Raw genomic sequence first — 21620 nt, forward strand, 5'->3', positions numbered from 1 at the left:
TTATAGTATTCGGTACAGAAACATGCTGTTCAGGTTGGTAGCCTGGTAGCAATAGGCTATACCATACAGCCTAGGTGTGTAGTAGGCTGTACCATGTAGGAGTTTACACTACAACCAAATTGCCTAGCAATGCATTTCTCACAACATATCACTGTTGTCAAGGGATATATGACTGTATATGTAAAACATCTGGCACAGGTTTGGAGTAGGTCTTGAGTGCACTGTGCTGAAGAACGCTGATCCTCTCGAGACAAGCAGAGGCAGGCTTCACCAGAGTCCCAGCCCACGGTGGGGAGAGGAGGCAGGAGAAGGATTCAGCAGCCATATGTGTAATTGATCTCTTGGAAAACATTAATACCAACTGATCAGTATCTGGAAGGAGAAGCTAAGCCTCCTCTGAGCAAGGTTTCTAAGAAACAGGAGGCAGGATGAGGACAGAAGGAGGAGGGAAGAAATGCTCATAGCCTGGTCGATGGGCCTGGAGATCCCTGGCCCCCATCGGGGGCAGAGGGAGGAAGCTTGGCTGTTCTGTGAATTCATAATCATGGAGCAATGGCCTCTCTGGTCTTCTGCGGCCCTGCACCCCCATCTCTGCTCAGCACTTAAGAACCTAAGTTGTAACCATTGACTTCCAGGCCTGTCTTCCTATAGGACACAGCTCTTTGGGGGCAGGAACTCTGTGATTGTTGTCTCCCAGCTCCCAGATCATGAAGAAGTGCTCATTAAGTGAATGGTCAAACGTGAGGACGGGGGCCTCTGGCTTTGTATTCCTGGCATTTGGTGTGGATGAGGCCAGAGTCGGGGACTAGGAGTGAATGTGTTCAGTTTTTCTGCTAGCTGTGGCATAATTCTCACTATCTGATTACCTCCTATCAGGAAACTAAAAGAATATATTTGGATCATCAAAAGAAAGGAAAAGAGTATATCAAAGAGATATTTGCACTCCCATGTTTGTTGCAGCACTGTTTACAATAGCTAAGATTTGGAAGCAACCTAAATGTCCATCAAGAGATGAATGGGTAAAGAAAATGTGGTACATTAACATAATGGAGTACTATTCAGCTGTAAAAAAAAGAATGAGATCCTGTCATTTGCAACAACATGGATCCATCCGTGCTGGAGGTCAGTATGCTAAGTGAAATAAGCCGGGCCCAGAAAGACAAACTTCACATGCTCTCACTTCTTGGTGGGAGCTAAAAATTAAAACAATCAAACTGACAGAGATAGAGAATAGAATGATGGTTACCAGAGGCTGGGAAGGGTAGTGGTGGTGGCGTGGTGAGTGGAGGGGTGGGCATGGTTCATGGGTACAAAATATAGTTAGAAAAAAGGAATAAGATGAGATAAGATCTAGCCTTTGATAGCACAACTGGGTGACTATAGTCAAGAATAATTCAATTGTACATTTTAAGATAACTGAAAGAGTATAATTGGATTGTTTATAACACAAAGAATAAATGCTTGTGGTAATGGATATCCCATTTGCCCTGATGTGATTATTAGGCATTGTATGGCTGTATCAAAATATCTCACGTTCCTCATAAATATATACACCTATTATGTACCCACCAAAATTAACAATTTTAAAAAAGAATCCATTTGGAGCCTATGGAAGATTGATTGCATCTAGTGACCCAATTTTCCATGCTACCTTCTACCCATGCTGACTCTATAGTGACCCCATTTTCCATGCTACCTTCTACTCATGCTGACTCTAGACTTGGCCTCTGTGACTCGCTTTAGCCAATGGGATAGTAGAAAACTCAACCCCTTGTATGTTTCTACACTCTTATCTCTCTGATTTCTTTGTGTGAACGATTCTGGGCTACCCTCCTGGAGGATGAGACACATGACTGAGTCTGCCCAGTTGTCTAAGCCAAGGCTCTAGATAAGTAAGGGAGTCCAGCTAAGACTACCAAAGCCACTTTGTTAACTGCAGCTGACCAGAAATACCTAAGTACACTCCATTTGGCAGACCTGTCCAGCTAACCCATAGATTCATAAGTAAAAAACAAATGTTTATTGTTGTCAGCCACTGGTGGAGGTAGTAATTTGTTACGTGACATAACTGCAGCAATATGGCTAACCAATAGAGCCTTGAGCTATATTTATCCCTGACTGGCTCCACATTTGAATTTTGGGCAAGGAAATAAATATTGGGCTGGGCACGGTGGCTCACGCCTGTAATCCCAGTACTTTGGGAGGCCGAGGCGGGCAGATCACGAGGTCAGGAGATAGAGACCATCCTGGTTAACACAGTGAAACCCCGTCTCTACTAAAAAATACAAAAAATTAGCTGGTTGTGGTGGCGGGCACCTGTAGTCCCAGCTACTCAGGAGGCTGAGGCAGGAGAATGGCGTGAACCCAGGAGGCGGAGCTTGCAGTGAGCCGAGATGGTGCCACTGCACTCCAGTCTGGGCGACAGAGCGAGACCCCATCTCGAAAAAAAAAAAGAAAGAAAGAAAGAAAGAAATTTTGAGGTTCCAGTTGCAAACATTCAGCCTGACTTTAATTTCCAGGGTTGACTATTTAAAGCATCAGAAATAGAGTGGTGCTTCTGGCTTCAAAATTGTGGAAACTGGAGCTGACAAGAATTCCAAGACTAGGTTTACACTGAAGCAATTTCCTGGTTCATCTAAATCACACAGACCTGGGTTTAGTAAGGCCAAGTGAGTGGAAGCCCCTTCTGAAATCTATGGCAGGTTTTTCTGTAGCACAAGTCATGCAATAGTGGACAGCATCCATTTCCTCCTCTGGTGACAGCATCCTGAGTTTCCCTTCCTAGCTCTCATTACCCAGTAGATGGCCAATTAGCATATTCTATCCTCCAGCTGCAATGATTGGTTCAGCTGTAGGCATGTGTTTAAATTCTATCCAATCAGAGGTTATCGTGGAACATCTGCTAGAAATGTGGGGAAGAGAAGGCCTCTCTACTGGCCTTAGAGTGTTAAGGGTGGAAAGCTTAGTGATACTGGCCACCATCTTGTTACCAGAAGGGGACAGTTTGCCCAAACACGCAAGTGATGTGACATCCCTAAGGCTCAGTATTTTTCATCTGTAAAAAGAGGATAATAACTATGTCCCCTCAGTATTGTTGTGAGGATGTGAGGAGATAATAAATAAAAAGTACCAGGTAAGTGACCCATAAATGTAAGCTATTGCAATTAATTCGGTGCAACTATTGACCTAGATCAGTATCTGATATTTAACTCATAACTAAAAATGAGCCTGTGTGTGTGTGTCTGATGTTTTCCATGTTTACATGGATGTTAATAAACATATCTAAAGCATCCATTAATCTGGGCTCAAGTCCCAGCATTGACAATTACATATTGTACAGTTTTCGTAGATTAGCAAGCTTTCTGAGCCTCAGTTTCTTTATGTCTGAAATCAGGAAAATTACAGGACTCACATAATCTGTTAGAAAAGTAGATGAATGATAACAATATGTGTCAGGTACAGTGCCTGGCACAGAGTGACGGCTCAATAAATGTTCCTAGTTTTTCCCTCATTTTTTCCCTTGATAATTGTTTAAATCTCAATTTCAAAGAATAGGTAAGTACATATATACTACAGTGTACAACCTCGGAGCCGAGACCTATTGAGCAAGACAAATCACCCCAAATTTCTGCTGTGGATAACTCAAGTCTCTGGGACATGGTGGGACATGGTTTTTGGAAAGAGGAAGCTTCTAAATGAGACATCAGCTCATAGTGCATTCCCAAGGAATCATCTACAAAGTGTCAGTGAAAGAAGCTGAGATTGTAAAATGTCTTCAGCAGGTCAAAGCCCAAAAGCAAGGATGTGGGTTTAAACACCTGGAGGTAGCTCAGGCACCATTTTATGGCAATGCAGCTGTAGGCTGTCCTGGTCCAGTTTTCCCTCAACCCCCAAAGCTCATAAAGTAGCCATGCCTCGATGTATGGGAAGAAACAATGAATGAATGTACTTTGACCCATCTGCTATGAGAGCTCAGAAATTTACCAGAAACAACTTACATTCCAAACAAAGAAGATATTGGTGCAGACCACATGGATCCTGGGGACAACATCCTCTTCTCCCAGGAGTATCAGTCTCCATTCATTTATGTCAAAGCCTGATTTCCCCTTCCACACCCCTACAAAGGAAATCAAACAGTACAGGGGTACAATATACCAAGAGACCTCTGGAGGGTTATTAAGCAATAACGAAAGACAGTCTTGCTCAGAGCTATCCTATAGTTTCTCTTCTGCTGGATTATGAAGGGAGTTCAAAGGATGGCCCTAAAGCCAAGGTGACTGGCTAAAGCGTTGACATTGAAAAAGGGTCTTTCATCTTTGTGTCTACATTCTGGTTGAAAGTCATTATCATCTCTTTGGAGCTGAGTGATTGCAGTGTTGAGCTGGTGGTCACTCATCCCAGCTGCAGCTCAGTTTCCACTTCTCAGTAGCCCTGGGCAGAGTTGCCCGAAAGGATTCATTCACATGACTGCTCAAGCATTCAGTGAATATTTGTTTAGAATCCAGTATTGCAACACTTCCTGGCCCATCCACTGTCTAATGTCTCATTTCATCAACAAGGAGAAAAAGGAATGGTGAAGTTTTTAGTAAGCTCTGGTGTGATGTAAAAACAACCTAATTCCTCCTGGTCTTTTGGGACTTTGGGGAGCATAGGGGGTAGGGAAGGGATCCCCAATGCAAAAGCACATATTGAATCAAGCTTTGTAAATAGATCCCCCTGTGCAGGGTATTTTTTTGTCATGGTTTCAAGCATAGACAGGTAGATATGGATGACCGCAGTTAAGTTATTAAAACACTCTAATCCTCAGTTTCCTCTTCTGTAAAAGGGCCACAATACTACCTACCTTTTAGAATTGTTGAGAGGATGAAAAAGATTCTTATATAAAACATGTAATGTACCCCAAACAGAAGGTTACCAAATCTAGTAGAATTGCTCTTCTCTTTTCATGTGCTCAATGTGTAGAACTAAGAAAATTTAACCCAGCGAAATAGTCTTTCAGCCTTTTAAGAGGGAAAAAGCCAATTCTGGTTAGGTTGTTTCTCAGCTTTCCTAACTGTATCTGAAAAAGTGAAGCTGTGAACACCCACGACGTAAGGATATTACAAAGATTGGGGGTTACATTTGCAAAAAGTCTGGCACAGTGGAGAAACACAATAACCTGACGTCAGGTATAACTGCCATCATAAGTGACAAGTCAGATCAAGGAGCCCGTGGGACTGAATTTGCCAAGGTTTAGTTCACTGCTATTCTCTTAACACTCACTTCTCAGCTCAAATATGAGTACTTAGTTAATGTGCCACTGGTCTACCGCTAAGAGCATCTTTTCCACCCTGTTTCTCTGGACCAGCTGAAAGAAATTTATCAGATGTAGATTTGAGCTATACTTGGAATTAACTGAATGCTCCAAGTTTATCTAATTCTAAAATCAACCTCCAGGATTACCAAGTAGGGGCTTGTGATTTAAATAAACATTGACTGTCTACTACCTGCTCAAAAACTATTCCTGGGGCTGAAGTTACAACAGTCACCAAAACAGACAAATATTTCTGCCCTCAAGAAGCTCATATTCTAATGTCATACCAATTACCAATGCATAAGAGGCCTACACAACTGGATATCAACTGCATCATGCTTTCTCTCAAGTGTCATTCTGGAAAGAACCATGCATAAAGATCTTTGCAATGGAAAGGGTAGAATTTACCCATATTGAGAAACAGATAGAGATACATATAGGTCTATATAAATACATAGCTTGAGATACAGAAAATGATCTGAGTACTGGCCCTGTGTCAGGCATTGTACTAAATGCTTGACTTAATTTTAATTCAAATTTAGTCCTCACAACCAGCTCCGAAATAGGCAGTCTTCTTGTATCCTGTTTACGCATGAGAACACTTGAGGCGCAGAATAAAAGTAATTTGATTTAATAAAGAGTTGCTCCAGAACTCCAACTACAATTAGTGTAAATAAGTGCAGCTTGTGAGTAAAAGCTGGGTTACTGGAATGGATTAGAGGGCATGAAATAAATTCAGACCAGCTAGAATATGGGACAGTGGAAATGGTTTGCCTGTGCATGGTGAGATGAAGGAAACCAGGGGCCTTTATGTTTTTGCAGGAAGGCTACCTTCCTGAACAAATCTTGAAAAAGTGACCCCAAGAAAGAAGACTTATGGAGACACACGTTGCTGAAGATGACTTAAAACGGACTGTGGTTTGAAGGTAGGTCTGAAGAGTCACATGGCTTTGAAAACCCAGCACCCATAAAGGCTTGGCCAATAAGCCTCATGAAACTATGAGCCAGTAGACACAGGAAGCTAAAAAGACTTTTTCCAAAGACCACTTCTGTGGAGTTCATGGAAGGCAAAGTCTTAGAGCAATCTCATATTAAGTGTCTAGTGAAAAAGCTGTCACCTTCCAAAGGATTAAATGTTATACCTGCAAAAATGCATGCAGAAACATTAGACAAACTCAAATAGAGGGATGTTTTCCAAAACAACTGGTCTGTACTCTTCAAACATGTCAAGATCAAGAAAGACAAAGAAAAACACAGAAACACTTCCAAATTATAGAACAACATATCAAGTAAATATAATGCATGATTCTGGATTGGTGGGAGTGGCATAGCCACACTAGCCATTATTGAGACAATTGATGGAAATGAAACGTAAACTGTGGATTTGATAATAGCGTTGAATTTTCTGATTTCAGTTATTGTGCTGTGATTATGTAAGATAAAATCCTTGTTTTTAGCAAATGCTCTCTGTTGTGTTTAAAGAGGCACAATGTCTCTAACTTGCTCAGATGGTTCATTAATAATTATTTATACAGGGGGAGAGAAAAAGAGAGACTACTGTCTGGAATGATTCTGTCTGGTGAGGAATTCAACAGAGAAAAAAGCAGAACCAAAAGATGAAGAGACATTGTTGGGGGTCCTTTGATCTAAATATACCTGAAGCTGACATGTCCATAAGCTTCCACATTTCATAAGCCAATAATTTCTCCCTTTAGAATTTTATTTTTGCATAAACCAGTGTGAGTTGTGTTTCTATGAGTTGAGTGAAGTCAGCTGAGAATCCATGAGTCCCGCTGATTATTGCGATGTAATATATGATCACCACATTGCAGGCACTGTGCTAGGCAACAGGTGGAAAAAGATGAATAAGACCCCCTCATCTTAATGGTCTCACAATGCTCCAATAAGGAGATGAACGTACAAGCAAATTATTACAACACAGGTAATATCTCTACTCAGAAAATCTAAATTCCAAAGCGCTCCAAAATCCAAAACTTTTTGAGTGCCAGTATGTTGCCACAAGTGGAAAATTCCACACCTGACCTCATGTGATGGGTCACAGTCAACACAGTCAAAACTTTGTTTCATGCACAAAATTATTTTAAAATATTGTATAAATTTACCTTCAGGCTATGTGTACAAGGTATATATGAAACAAATGAATTTCATGTTCAGACTTGGGTCCCTTTCCTAAGATATCTCATTAGGTATTTGCATATATTCCAAAATTTGAAAAAATCTGAAATCCAAAACACTGCTGGCCCCAGATATTTCTGATAAGGGATATTCAACCAACACAATACCATCTGATTTTGCTCAATGTCTCCTTGTTGCTTGAAATAGTTTCTCCTCTTCTTTTTTCTACTTTTTTTTTTTTTTTTTTGAGACAGAATCTCACTATGTTGCCCATGCTGGAGTGCAGTGGTGCAATCTCAGCTCACTGCAACCTTTGCCTCCCAGGTTCAAGTGATTCTTCTACCTCAGCCTCCCAAGTACCTGGGATTACAGTCATGCACCACCACACTTGGCTAATTTTTGTATTTTCAGTAGAGAGAGTGTTTCACCATGTTGGCCAGGCTGGTCTTAAACTCCTGACCTCAAGTGATTTGCCTGCCTCAGCCTGCCAAAGTGCTAGAATTACAGACATGAGCCACCACACCTGGTCCTCTTTTTTCTACCTATCCAAATTATCATCCTTTAGGAGGCAGCCCAAGTCAACCCTCCTTCATGAGCCTATGAACCACTGTTTTCATAGTGATTAAACCATCACGCATCACTTTATGTGAAAAATGGTAAGTAACACCACATGCCTCACCATGCCAACTGCATGCATAGCTCATTGGGAATAAAGTATATAGAAATGGGTATATAACAATAATTATAAAATGTTTTTGAAATTCACAAAACCTTATAAAAAATCTAGTTGGTAGTTGGATGAAAGATGTGAAGGGGTATGAGGTAGTGAGGTGGGAAAGTTAATGACAATTTCCAAGAGAGAGAAGCTGAAAACAGATTCTGAGATGAACGTTTTCTCAAGCCTGATAAGCCATTTGAAGCATCAGACAACAATAACTGCATCTTGAAGCATGAATCTGGGTCAGAAGCTCTGCAGAATTCATTGCTCAGTACCCAAGTGACAGAACCATTCATACCCCAAACCTTAGCCTCATGCAATATACCCAGGTAACAAGCTTACATATGTACCCCCTGAATCTAAAATAAAAGTTGAATTGAGTACATATGGACACAAAAAGGGGAACAATAGACACCAGGGCTTACTTGAGGGTGGAGGGTCAGAGGAGAGTGAGGATTGAAAAACTGCCTACTGGGGACTATACTCACTACCTGGTTGAGGAAATCATTTGCACACCAAACCCCAGCAGCATGGAATTTACCCATATTGCAAACCTGCACAGGTACCTCCTGAGTCTAAAATAAAAACTTGGGAAAACAATTTAAAAAATAAAAAAGTTTAAAAATAAAATAAGGCCAGGCGTGGTGGCTCACGCCTGTAATCCCAGCACTTTGGGAGATCGAGGTGGGTGGATCTCCTGATGTCAGGAGTTCGAGACCAACCCGGCCAGGGTGGTGAAACCCCCTCTCTACTAAAAATACAAAAAAATAGCTGGACATGGTAGCAGGCACCTGTAATCCTAGCTACTCGGGAGGCTGAGGCAGGAGAATCGCTTGAACTTGGGAGGTGGAGGTTGCAGCGAGCTGGAATCATGCCACTGCACTCCAACCTGGGTGACAGAGCATGACTCTGTCTCAGAAACAAAACAAAACAAAAAACAAAAATAAATAAATAAATAAATAATAAATAAAACTGAAAAAGAAAAAAAAAGAATAAAACAAATGTCCTGAGGCACTTGTTCTTACGATGTGCCAAAATCTGAAAGAGTTTGATATTAAAATCAAAATTGCCTTTGAGTTGTAAAAGCATGTAAATGTACAACTTTATTCCAAAGACTTATATTTTCTTTCCACCTAAAATGAAATTGCAGGCTTAAATTTCATTTGGTAAAATATAAAACTTCTGGATCAGAAGTTTTATTTTTCAACAAAAAAAAAATGGCTGCATTTCACAGAATCCTAGAATTCTTACCTAAAAATTAAACTGGGCCAGAATCACTGGGGATTAGTCACTCTTCCCACGTGATAACCACATTTCTTAGATGACAACATTGCTGTGAATTTGCCAAGAAGGCAGTAAGGAGGCCCTGCTTCAATGCAGGATCCACTATTTTGTGGTTTGTGCCATCATCTGAAACTTAGATCTGAGTAGAGTCTGAGCCCACGTCTGCATATGGCTAACCACCAAGGGTGTAAACAAGAGGCTCTCCGGATATACACTCTATATGCATGGTATGAGTTTGCTAGGACTGCCGTAACTAAATACCACAGACTGGGTAGATTAAACAATAGAAACATATTTTCTCATGATTCTGGAGACTGGAAGTCCAAGAGCAAGGTGTTGGTGGGGTTGATTAAGTACTGAGGTCTCCTTCCTTGGCATGCAGATGGCTGCTTTTCCCCTATCTTTACTTTGTCTTGCCTCTGTCTGCATTTTTGTGTCCTGATCGCCTCTTCTTAAAAGGACACCAGTCATATGGACGAGGGCCCACCCTAATGACCTCATTTTATTTTCATTATCTCTTTAAAGGCATTGCCTCTAATTACAGCCACATTCTGAGGTACTAGGGATTAGAACTTGAGAACACGAATTTTGGAGGGACACGATGCACCCAATAGCATAGGTGCCAGGCACAGACACTTTACATGCTTGAGCTTATGCAACGCTCAAAACAACCCCATGAAGATGGCAGTATCATCCCCATTTTACTGGTGGGTAAACTGAGGCTCAAAGGGGTTAAGTAACTTGAATGTAGTTATACAGCTGCTAAATATTAGTGCTGAAACTTGAGTCTGACTGACACCAAAGCCTACACTCTTAACCATCACCCTAAAGTGTCCCACACCCTTGGCCATCCACAAGATGATTTTAAGTGTGTGACCAGATGAACTTTAGGAGAAATGTTAATATGTATCTCTTTATTGTAATGTATGCTATTTAAAAAGAGGAACCCAACAAACCCATAATGGTTTCAGATGAAGCCGAAATAGACATTTAGCTTTAGAAAAGTAAATAAAAGAGAAAATAGAATAGACGGTGCTTGAATATGGCAAAAGTCATTAAGTGAATTTAACAGTAACTAAATTCAGAAAACAGTGATTTCTGTATCATACGACCACATTACAAAGTCATCAGTTTGCCGTTTGTCAGCTCAACACCCAGACTCATCTCTTTCAACGGTATTTAACCTCTAACTAAAGACGATCACGAAGCCGTACTTCTGCCTAACATGATACAACTGTCCCACATACAACTGAAACTGTGCTGACCCTTTCCCCACAAGAGAAAATAAACTGCCTTTGTCTTTGAGTAGTGCCTATTCTTCTTCTAGCTGATTTAAACTATTATAAAACATCTATTTCATCATGCACCTTGCCTTCTCTGTGTGTGTGTATGTGTATACGTCTGTGTGTGTGTGTGTGTGTGTGTGTGATACGTCTGTGTGTGTGTGTGTGTTTGTGTTTCTGTCCTTCTCTCTTTTCGGCCCTTTTATTCCTATACCCCTAGCCTTTGGAAAAATAAGCCAGCCATTACACCATTAGGACTTGGCTGAAAGAACAGGTTGGAACCACTGGTTAAGTTTTCCTTCTAATTTCTTCCCTTCCTCCTGGATGTGCTGCATTCTCTCCCTGCCGCCAACAGCAGCCAGCATCTTTCATCAGTTATTCACCATGGATGCTGGGGCTTTATTAGCAAATGAAAATGGCCCAACTCCAGCTGACATCAATGGGGTCTCAGCTAGGAACAGGACCAGAGCATTTCCTGTGGCCCCAGACTCAGACAAACCAGTTTGAAGAGGAGCCAATTGGCTTTACCCAAGCTACCAGTGAGCTATTTTTGACATAAAAGATGCTGAATTTAGCTGATAACTGATTAAAGAAATTTTAAACACAGCTAGTTTGGGTTTTAATATCTTGGCAGTCGTGGCAGATAGACAAAGGAAAGATACCAAATTTGTTCAGGCAAGTTATTTTTGAAAACAATTAATCAAATCCCATCAAGAAACCAATTGCTTGCAAAACAACTGTTTGATTGAGTTGCATCTGTGTATTTTCCTCTCTCTCCCATCTTTCTACTACCTAAATCAGTTTATGTAGGAAAACAAAGCCTTAATATTTTCATGAACCTGAAGTTGGCACAGCAATGAGAAAAATTCCATGAACACACCAATATGGTATGTTCCTTTCCTCTTCTAAGACAAACCAATTTCAAAAGTTAAGATAAAATTTTCTGAAATGTTTTGAGTATGTATGCAATAGTAAAATACTTTCTGGTATCCAGCCAGAAAGTAATATCTTTAAATCCACTTCAGATCTTTGATTTTCCATAGTTCGAAAAAAAAAGGGGGGACTCACCCAGTTCTTTCATCTGTTTCTTTATAACAACCTTATCTTGCAAGGCAAGAAAGTATCATTGTTTTTCCTTAAGACCCGGAGAACAAGACACCCAGAAAGTCCGAGGGACCTGCCCAGGCTCCACAGTCATCAATTAGTCCAGAATGGTTCAGTTGTGTAGTTTAAGTCTTGGCTTCATATTCCCTCCTCTGGGTTGTTTGGTATGGTTTGATATAAAATTTTATCGAAATTCCTTTTGCTTATTTTCAAGCCTATAAAAATGAGACAGCAACTAAGAAGAACTGTCCAGTTCAGTCCTAACGATCATTTTTGAACTTTGAAATACTTATCCTTAATTAGAGTCTGGTCAGCGCTATCACAGTATAATGCAACAGTAATATTCTTATGAGGATGTATAATAGCTGCTCATTATTGCAGGTTTGCCACATACAGCTTTTTAAATCTCTGCCTCAACCTTTAAGAGCCAGCCCTCATGTTCCCATTTTACAAAGAAAGAAACTGAGGTTCAGTAAAGTGAAGGCTGCCCCAAACCACACATGCAGATGTTGACATTGAAAATATTTAGCAAAGTTAGCAGTGTGCATACTCAAAGTCCCAGCAATTCTACTCAAAATAAACCTTTCACATATAAAAATAAATGGCGTATGTGAAGAAGCAGATACAAAGATGTTTGCTGTATTGTCTGTAATGGTTTTTAAATTTAATTTAATTTAATTTTTTTTTTTGGAGACAGAGTCTCGCTCTGTTACCCAGGCTGGAGTGCAGTGGCGCAATCTCGGCTCACTGCGAGCTCTGCCTCCCAGGTTCACGCCACTCTCCTGCCTCAGCCTTCCAAGTAGCTGTGACTACAGGCACCTGCCACCTCACCCGGCTAATTTTTTTGTATTTTTAGTAGAGATGGGGTTTCACCATGGTAGCCAGGATGGTCTCGATTTCCTGACCTCGTGATCCACCTGCTTTGGCCTCCCAAAGTGCTGGGATTACAGGCATGAGCCACCGCGCCCGGCCATCTGTAATGGTTATGAAAAAAATATAAAAATCCATCAGCTGAGAAAGTGACCTTGGGCTAATTACTTAACTGTATGTTTCTTATCTGGAAAATGAGGATAGCAATAGCAACTATTTCACAGGTGTGAGGATTAGGTGAGTTCATTACATAAAATGGTTAGAACAGTACTTGGCACATAGAAAGTATTATGCAAGTATTAGCTGCAATTATTATTCAATCATAGGTTATTATGTTGCAATTAAAATAAATGAAATATGTTTATATAATATAATATTAATATTTACAACTATATATTATCCACCAACATGTATTAAACTCAGAAGTATAATATTGAATAAAAAAGCAAATTGTAGACCTGTATATATAAGATTTATGCAAATTAAAAAACACAAGCCAAAAGTTTGCATTGCTAAGAGACAAGTGTATATTTTATAAACGTATAAGAAATTAGACTGCAAGTAATTTATCAAAATTATGACAGTGGTTTTCTCTAAGAAGAGGAAGAGGAAGGGGGACAAAATTATAAAAGGAAAAAGCACTTGAACTTTATAGTATTTTGCTTCTGTTATTAAAAAAAAAAGATTTGAAGTGAATATGACCACTTGTTAATATGTGTTTTTTCTAGATGTGAGTACATAGGTATTTGACATATTAATCTATGTACTTTTCTGTATTTAAACAGCTTTTTAAGTATAAAGAAAAAACCCACAAAGTTTTTGTTTATGTTGCTATGAGAAGCTCACACTCAACAGATTTGAGATCTTGCTATCCTTCTGTTTTTTTGGCTTCATTCCTGGCAGGGAGAAGGGGTAGATTGTACTTGCGAATGACCAAAAAAATAAAAAAAAACCGCATCATTTACTATCCAACTGTGCAATGATCTTTGCAAAGAACTATGAAGTCATTTTCAAAACCCATCTGCAGGGAAGAGGCCAGCATTTGTCTTTGTACCTATAAAGTACAGAGACCTTCACCCACGCCCTGAGCATCAGAGACCACTCTATCACCAAGGGGACCAGAAAAGAATGCAGGGGAAATATCATATTCTAGGGTCCCCCAATATTTTACACAAAGTGAGGATTCAACTTAAATAAATGATATGTGAACACACTTCTTAAAGAGAATAAAGTTTTATCCAGACAAATTCATTTTAAAAGTTGATGTAGTTTGTGCATAACCTTAAATTTGTAAATGCCACCCTGCTTTTTAATATGACCACAAACATTTTCAAGTTTAATGCAAATTTTATGTCTTATTGAGGTCTATTCATATACAATGTGGCCAGATTCTGGGTTCAGGCATTTGCCTCAACTGCCTATGTAACCACATATACAGGCGTATGCATACACACACACACACACCCCAGAGTAGTAACAGAAATGCTAGTTCTATTTTGTACAGAACCACCAAATACAACATTTTTCTATTTGGAAGAAGCCAGTATTAGAAAATTTTAACATCTTTCTCCTTTTTAGACATTGGAAGTTATAAGATACTTTCACTGATGGTAGAATCTTAATTCTTCACTTATTTTCCTAGTTATGGTCTAAGATACTGTCACCTACACTGCATCAGGAAGAAATTTGGTGGGGAAGAATGCACAGTCACACACACAGAATAGAACACAACTATGTATTAAGATAATAAAGTACTAATTATCTTAGCTCCTCTCATAAATAAAGGAGTGTTTGTGCTAGGCACAACTCTAGATGCTTTACATTGCTTTGTCACATTTAATCTGCATAGGAAACCTTTCAGGCGGGTATTGGTATCATCCCCTTTTTCAGATGAGAAAACCAAAGCATGGCCTTTGAGGAACCAGGCCAAGTACATAGACCTAAAAAGTCATGGACCAGTGTGTGGATCCAGGCTCTTACACACTAGGCCATGGCTATATGTTGGGTCTAAAAGGTAATGATTCAAATAAGAAAAAAATCAATCCTCTTACACACTAGGCCATGGCTATATGTTGGGTCTAAAAGGTAATGATTCAAATAAGAAAAAAATCAATCATGCTTAGATTATATCCAGAAAATATACAAGAAAGAGGTCACAGTTGGATGGCCTCAGAAAAGCAAACTAGAGGACTGGGGAAAGGAGCTGAGATAGAAATGTATTTTCACTGTATAACTTCTAAAAAATAGAAATCGAATTTGATTTTTGTAATAATTTGAATTAAATTTTTATAATATGCAAGTATGTATGAAACTGACACACATTTTGCTACCTTGGCTGTGCAGTGCCTTGGACATCCTAAGTGTTCCAGAGCTATTTGCTGACTTGGCCACGAGTTAGTTCCATGTGCCAAAAAATATGATTCCTGGTATCTTTCTGGGGCCTTGCTGTGGTAGCAGAGGAATGCATTTGAAGTTTGGAGGCCTCACCTGCAGAAGCCCAATCCTCAGATAAGAGGAAATTTGGTTAACAGCCCCAGCTCCTACGTTTAAGGGCTCCCCGCAGGAATCTTGGCCCCACATCCGGATCTTAACCGAGAATTTTTCCAAAGCCAAATTCTCACACCCCATTACCTTTCAGGGCTTAGTGCTGGCTCCAAGAATGAAGACCTGCTAGGATTTATGGGAACTGCTGGAGAAAGAAACAGGACTTGTGAGTCCATGGGTGGGTTTCCTATGAACAGCCGAGGGACTGACTGATTTCTGTCTCCATCAAGTCTACCTTTCCATGCCGTCTGCCACCATGTAGTTCAGCAAATTGTCTTTGAATTTGCATTAGAACCAGTTGGCCTGCTTTGGTCTGGACTTAGCTGTTCTCCTTCCAGTATTTTATTTTCATTTATTCAATTGTGAGTGGTGGGAGATGGGGTGGAAATTAAGGGATGGGGGAGTGGCTGGAAGTCTTAGGAGAATAAATGGAGAAAAGAAAGAGGATATGGAAGTAGAGGTCAGTTAGATTGTAATCATTTGCTTTCGGAAACAGACTATCTGGGTTGGAAAGCATCTTATCAGGTATGTGAGCTTGGGCAGGAGATTTGTTGCTAAGAGCCTCAGTTTATACACCTGTAAAATAGGACTAAGAATGCCTCTCTTGCAGAGCTGATGTGAGAATGAAGTGAGGTATTTTTAAGGCAGTTGCCACAACTTCTACATGGGGTGAGTGTTCATCAGGTGGAGACTACTATTCTGAAAGGGAGAGGAGAATGAGAGAAAGCAATAAGAAGGCTGCAGAGAAAAAGAAAAGACCATGAGGACAGCAACCATTTTCTATTATTTTTTTCAATTCATTTAAAAATTATGTATAGCATAAGTAGGACATGTGAAAGGCAAAGAAAAAAACCTGAAAACGTATAAAACAGTATACAGTGCAAAGCAGATTTTCCTTCTTCAGTTATTTAGTTGGCTCTGCCTGGAGGTAACCACGGTGACAGGGTGGCAGTGTCTTTTATGCCCCTCTGGGGAATCACTACACACACACACACACACACACACACACACACACACACACACACGGTTGCTTGCTATACAAACCATTCTGCCTGTTGCTTTTAGTTTCATTGTCCTTTGCTTATATCCTAGAGATGCTTTCATATTTGTACATACAGAAAGCCCTTGATCTGTTCTATAGCTGCATAATATGTCACTGCCCCTCTTATTATAATCAGTTTAACCAGCTCCCCATTTATGCCCACCAAGTCATTTTCAAACTTTGGCAGTGCTGCATTGAACATCCTCATACAAATGCCATTTTGCAAATGCAGGACTACATCTGTAGGATAAACACCTAGGACAAAAATTGCTATGTCAAAAGGTTGTGCTGTCATCATTTTGATGGCACACCAAATTGCCACCCCCCACAGGAGTTGTAAGTGCCCATGTTGGAGTGCTTATTACCCACACCCTCAACAACACGATATGCTAATTGAATATGTTTCATCTACACCAACCTTACTGGATTCCAAGCTTTAAAAGGGCCAGGCAATCAATGGCTAGGAGAAGGGCTCAGCAGCTTGCTGCTTGGGTCATTCCAGAAAGCCAGACTTAAAGGGCATGCACTTATGAAAATGAACTGTGATGGAGCCAGGATTTCTTTCCTGAAGTCGCTCCCTTGATCTCCACACAGGAGCGCCTGTTTCTCCAGTCTCTAGCACAGGTCCCCAGCATGGGCCCCTAGGAAGCCTCTTCCCTTCCCTCCATGAGGATAGGATCACCCTGGTATTGCCACTGGCTCAGGTATGTCAACATATTCTCCCTGTCTGGTCTGAATTGCAGGCTGAGCTTAAGGCCTGGAAGGAAGTGACCTCTTATTAATAAGGAGGCTTTGGAAAGGTGGATAGGGGTGGAGGCTACTCCTGGGGGCAGAGTGGTCAGATGTTAATATTCTCATCACTTGGGAAAAGGAGCAGGAGTGTAGAATTCCTGCACTCTTTGTCAAACCAAAGAAGTGAAATGGTTGGAAGATGAATGTTGTTGGCTCTGAACAGCATATTATGGAACATGAACCTTTTCATTCAGGTGTATTTATGGGTTTATATTTACCCAATAAATATAACAATGGATGAACAGCTGTTGAGAAGGGGAGACCTGGGCTCCTAGGGAGGAAAAATAGAGATCTGTCATCCAGGAAGGGAGCTAGGTGGTCTCAAAAGGATTTTTATCATGGGTGGTTTATTTGTCTTCTTGAAATTCGTGCTAAATCTTAGCAAGATTTTCTCAGGAGCTCCTAGAACAAAGATGGAAATCAAATGGACAGCTGATATGCGCAGACCCTGGTATGCTCACGTGCATGATAACGCACCGGTGTCCTGCTGATAACTGGATAGCTCACCCCTTCCAAATGGACAATCTCGTTGGCCATGGAAAGTTTGAGTTCTTACTAATCTTTCAGCCCCTCACCTCTCCAATGTATCCAGCCCTGGAGAGGCTAGTGTTAACTGAATGCAGCACTTCTTGATGCTGCTATCGAAATGTTCTCCTCCCCTTTCTAATTCTCTCCAGGCCAGTGCGACCTGTTTTTAGTTAAATTTGCCATAATCAAGGAAGTTTAAGTTCAATTGCACCACATTCTGGGCCAAGACATGAAGAATTAATCATAGAATGGGAAAAGAAAGAGAAAAAAAAAAAAGAAAAAGAAAAGGAGGAAATAGATGGGGGATTGCGAAATAGAGTGAACAAAGAGAAAAAAAAAGACACCAGAAAGGAGGGACTTTGAAACATTGCAAATGTGGGGAGAACAACAAGAAAATTGGGCATGAAGTGAGAAAGGATGAGGCAAGGAGAAAAGGGGGAAGAAGACCAAAAAAAAGAAAAGAACTTAGAAAGAAAGTTGTGAGGGAGGGATGGAGGGAGGGAGAAAGGGCGGAGGAGGGAAGAAGGGAAAGGAAACCGAGGAAAGAAAAAAATGAAAAAGGGGGAAAGAGGACGTAACAAGAAAGACTATGGAGGGAAAAGAAGAAAACAAATGAGACCCAGAAAACGCTAAATAATGAAAAATGAAGTAAGACAGCTTTCTGAACTGTAAGGCTTCCGAAATTCTTTCCAAGGAACCTCTGCGACGCACTTTTGTGGCAGCACATACATCCTAACCTCTTAAACTAGCTTTAGCTCTTGGCTAGGCGTATAAAGGCACTTTCGATTAAGTCTAATTAGCGAGCCCGAGCTAAAAGGCCGCCACAGCGGCGGGGCCCAGGGAGAAAAAGCAGCGTTCCCAATTCCCATGCTTCCAGCTCCAGGTTGTCGGTCTTTTGTCAGCCTCCGAAGCCAGGGTGCTCAACCTGGCCCCCTTTCTTTCCTGCTGGTGAGGCCACCCGCTTTGGGACAGAACTCTGGGCCTGCGCCTCAGCTCTCCCTCTTAGCGCCCCGGCGCCCCGGCTTCCCAAGCCTGGGGACTGAGCCCGCAGACGCCCATGGCGCATTGGCGAGCGCCCGGCTGGGAGTCAGCTTGGAAACCCACAACTCGCCTTTCTTGAGCGGCCAGACTTAGGATTCTTTACGATACTAACCTGTAATTTACACATTACATTATATTATATATTTTATATATAATTATATTATTATATATTATACTGGAATTTACACATTTTGATTCCGCCTGTAATTTGCCCTTGGAGCTCCGATGCCATAAAATCCATGGGATCTGGCAGAGGAACCCCCACCTCACCCCCTAAGGCCCCAGCTCTCCCTGAACTTCCCTAAGCTGCTACAAATAATCGCGTGGAAGACGGCCAAGAATAACCAGAAAATAAACACAGCTCCCCCGGCCCTCTGAACGCAGGCCGCGGGTCCCTCCAGGCCCCACCTGGCTCTTCTCCGGCCTAGGGGAGGCGAGGAGGCCGCGCCACGATCTCTGTACTCATTGTTCCCATGGCGCTGCCCTTAACCCTCGAAGGACTGCTCCCGGACCTCGATTCCAAGCAGGGTGACCCTCTGGCCTTTGTCCCCGCTGTCTTTCCTAGCAGGAAAACTGTCGGGAATTCAACCTCTGTCAAAAAATAAAAACAAAAAACAAGAACAAACACCCAAACCCCAACAACAAAGAGAGAACGCGGACTCCAGACAGTTTTCTCCTTTCAACTCTAGAACTTTCCCGGAAACATAAGACACCCAGTGCTCATCGTTACACCCTTAGGTCTGCGCCTGCGGGTGGGGGCCACGGGCTGTGCCGGAGCGCATAGCCGCGGGTGTGCCCTTAATTTTCATATATATAATGAAGTGTCTGCGCGCTAACGCGCCTGCAAATAATGTGTGTGCGCAAAGACGTTTCTGTCTACAGATAATTACGCGTAAATTATCCGTGGCAAACAACATATGCAAACGACATATGCAAACAACATATGCAAACGATTATCTATGTGCAGATAATTCCATGCCCACGAGCCGACAGATTTGCAATTCTCAAGTACTTCTATGTGCATGTAATTCTACGGGCAAATTGTTCCGAGTGCAAGGGATTTGGTGTGTGTGTCAGTGATTGCACCGCTGAAAACAATTCTGTAGATGTGTCGATGCCTTTAGAAGAAAGGGCTCCAAAGAATCGTGTCTCGATGGTTGGTCAGCGCGCGCATCTGCGGCACTGGCTAAATCCCGGGAAGCAGCGCGGAGAAACAAAAAGTGCTTTTCTTCCAGCCATGCCTTCTCCCTGCGGAAACCGCCTGCTCCCTGCGCCGCACGGAAAGCAGAAGGCGGAAGGGTGGGTTAGGTGTTCTGGGTTCTCCGGCCTCCTCCAAGCTTCGTGCTCGGTGAGGTACGGCGCGTTCAGGTTGCTGCATCAGTTTGCACAGCGCTGTGCCGCGCTCAGTCGGGAATTGCCACAGACGCCCGATTTCCTCGGTGCCATGTGGGCTCCTAGCTGCCGCCACAGAGCGGCCGGATCCTACCAGGGTTTCCCAGTGCCCGGGTACCTGCAAGAATCTTCCCAGGACGGGAGCAGTGGGCACTGAGCAGCGCTGCCGGGAGAAAGATGTTGCGTTTTGCCAAGCGCTCACCCGCGCTTCAAAACCCCAGTCGGTAAGACCTTGCGTCCCCCACGGGCACTAAAATGGCGAAGCACGTCCTGGCTAACGCAGTCTGTCTCTTACAGCACGCTCACGTGCGCCTAGAATTATAATACAATATAACACATCGTAATATCGGATATTATACCACGTTTACCTCCCATTAGGATGTGTATATTGTGTTAGGCTGTGCTTATGTGTTTGTTACGACGTGCTGTGATACTGTATCTTTCAGTCTCACTACCACGTGCCACGCACCTACTCGTTTATTTCATTCGCACAATGACCCTGCAGGTAGGAGTCATTTCCAGCACTGCCTACTCCAGGCCCAGAGAGGGGAAGGCACTTACACAGAGTCACCCTGCAAGAAAGGGGCAGGGCTTGGACTGGAACCCACAGCCTGAGGACTGGCCTAGGAGTGAAAAGCAGACATCCACCAACATAGCTCGACACGAAGCTTTCCTACGCCACACATTGCTGTTTCTGGAATAGCCCAACAATATATATTTATTTTATTACATTCTCACCATCTGGCTGAGAGGAGCCGCTACCAGCGTGCATGCTGCAACCTGTTGGCTGAGGACCCAGTATGGACAGGCCTCCAGTTCTACTACAGAACAATCTTGATCCAGCCATTCCCTCCTCCTGCCTCCTTCATTGGCTCCTCCTAACAACCCTAAGAGGGGAGTACTGTTATCACGGTTCACAGATGAGAGCTAGGTTCAGAGAGGTTAAATTGCTTTCCCAACATCACTTAGCAAGTGAGGGAAGAGGTTCAGCTTCGGCATTCAGACTCCAGAGCCCTTGATTCTGAAAGCTGCATTTCCAGACCCAGACCCGCTCCGAAGTGTCCCCAGTTTAATTCGAGTTGAAGAGTTGATGGAGGACCGCCAGTGGGAAACAGGTTCTAATGAGGATATATTCTTAATGTTTGGGAGTTGGGCACATCCTTGGGATGCAATAGAATCTCTGGATGTTGCCTCCCGTGGGGAGGTGTTCCTGAACTCCAATTAAAGTCTTTAGAACCAGCATCATGGTCCAGGACCTCATTGTAATTAGCTGGAGATCTGCAGGCTGCCTTCCTGATGACAGGGCTGAGGACTGATCCTTCACATATTCCAACCTTTCCTCCTCTTTGTGTGCTGCTGGAGGAGGAAGAGGGTGTGCACACGCTTGGACATGTGTTTAATCCCCTCTCCAGCTGCAAAAGTCAGGAGTCTCTGTGCCCTCAAAAATATCCCCAACAACTGGAAGACCATAACCAACCACAGCCTTTAAGGAACTCCCAGAGCAGGGACTTCTGGATCTTCTCTCAAACTTCCCTGTCTCTAGGCAGAGATCTACACTGGTGAAATTAAGGGAAGGGAAAGGAATCAAGATCC

The 21620-nt window shown here is 42.2% G+C and overlaps 1 long non-coding RNA gene across 2 annotated transcripts in view, besides 3 other annotated features; it reads right to left on the reverse strand.

Moving 5' to 3' along the window:
• LOC105369998 (uncharacterized) overlaps positions 1-21620 on the reverse strand; it is a 34225-nt gene that overhangs the window by 6604 nt on the left and 6001 nt on the right. For both annotated transcript variants that reach the window (XR_007063469.1, XR_945376.3), the window contains exon 2: positions 3999-4117. This is a non-coding gene — a long non-coding RNA (uncharacterized LOC105369998). The remainder of the gene's footprint in view (positions 1-3998; positions 4118-21620) is intronic.
• Positions 18057-18680: an enhancer, noted in NCBI's record as "H3K4me1 hESC enhancer chr12:114876822-114877445 (GRCh37/hg19 assembly coordinates)". NCBI's record gives its function as "activates a minimal SCP1, AML or CMV promoter by ChIP-STARR-seq in naive H9 embryonic stem cells {active_cell/tissue: H9 hESC(naive)}" and the evidence as "EXISTENCE:reporter gene assay evidence [ECO:0000049][PMID:30033119]".
• Positions 19304-19926: an enhancer, noted in NCBI's record as "H3K4me1 hESC enhancer chr12:114878069-114878691 (GRCh37/hg19 assembly coordinates)". NCBI's record gives its function as "activates a minimal SCP1, AML or CMV promoter by ChIP-STARR-seq in naive H9 embryonic stem cells {active_cell/tissue: H9 hESC(naive)}" and the evidence as "EXISTENCE:reporter gene assay evidence [ECO:0000049][PMID:30033119]".
• Positions 19927-20548: an enhancer, noted in NCBI's record as "H3K4me1 hESC enhancer chr12:114878692-114879313 (GRCh37/hg19 assembly coordinates)". NCBI's record gives its function as "activates a minimal SCP1, AML or CMV promoter by ChIP-STARR-seq in naive H9 embryonic stem cells {active_cell/tissue: H9 hESC(naive)}" and the evidence as "EXISTENCE:reporter gene assay evidence [ECO:0000049][PMID:30033119]".

Source organism: Homo sapiens, chromosome 12, assembly GCF_000001405.40.
Source record: "Homo sapiens chromosome 12, GRCh38.p14 Primary Assembly".
Classification (NCBI taxonomy): Eukaryota; Metazoa; Chordata; class Mammalia; order Primates; family Hominidae; genus Homo; species Homo sapiens.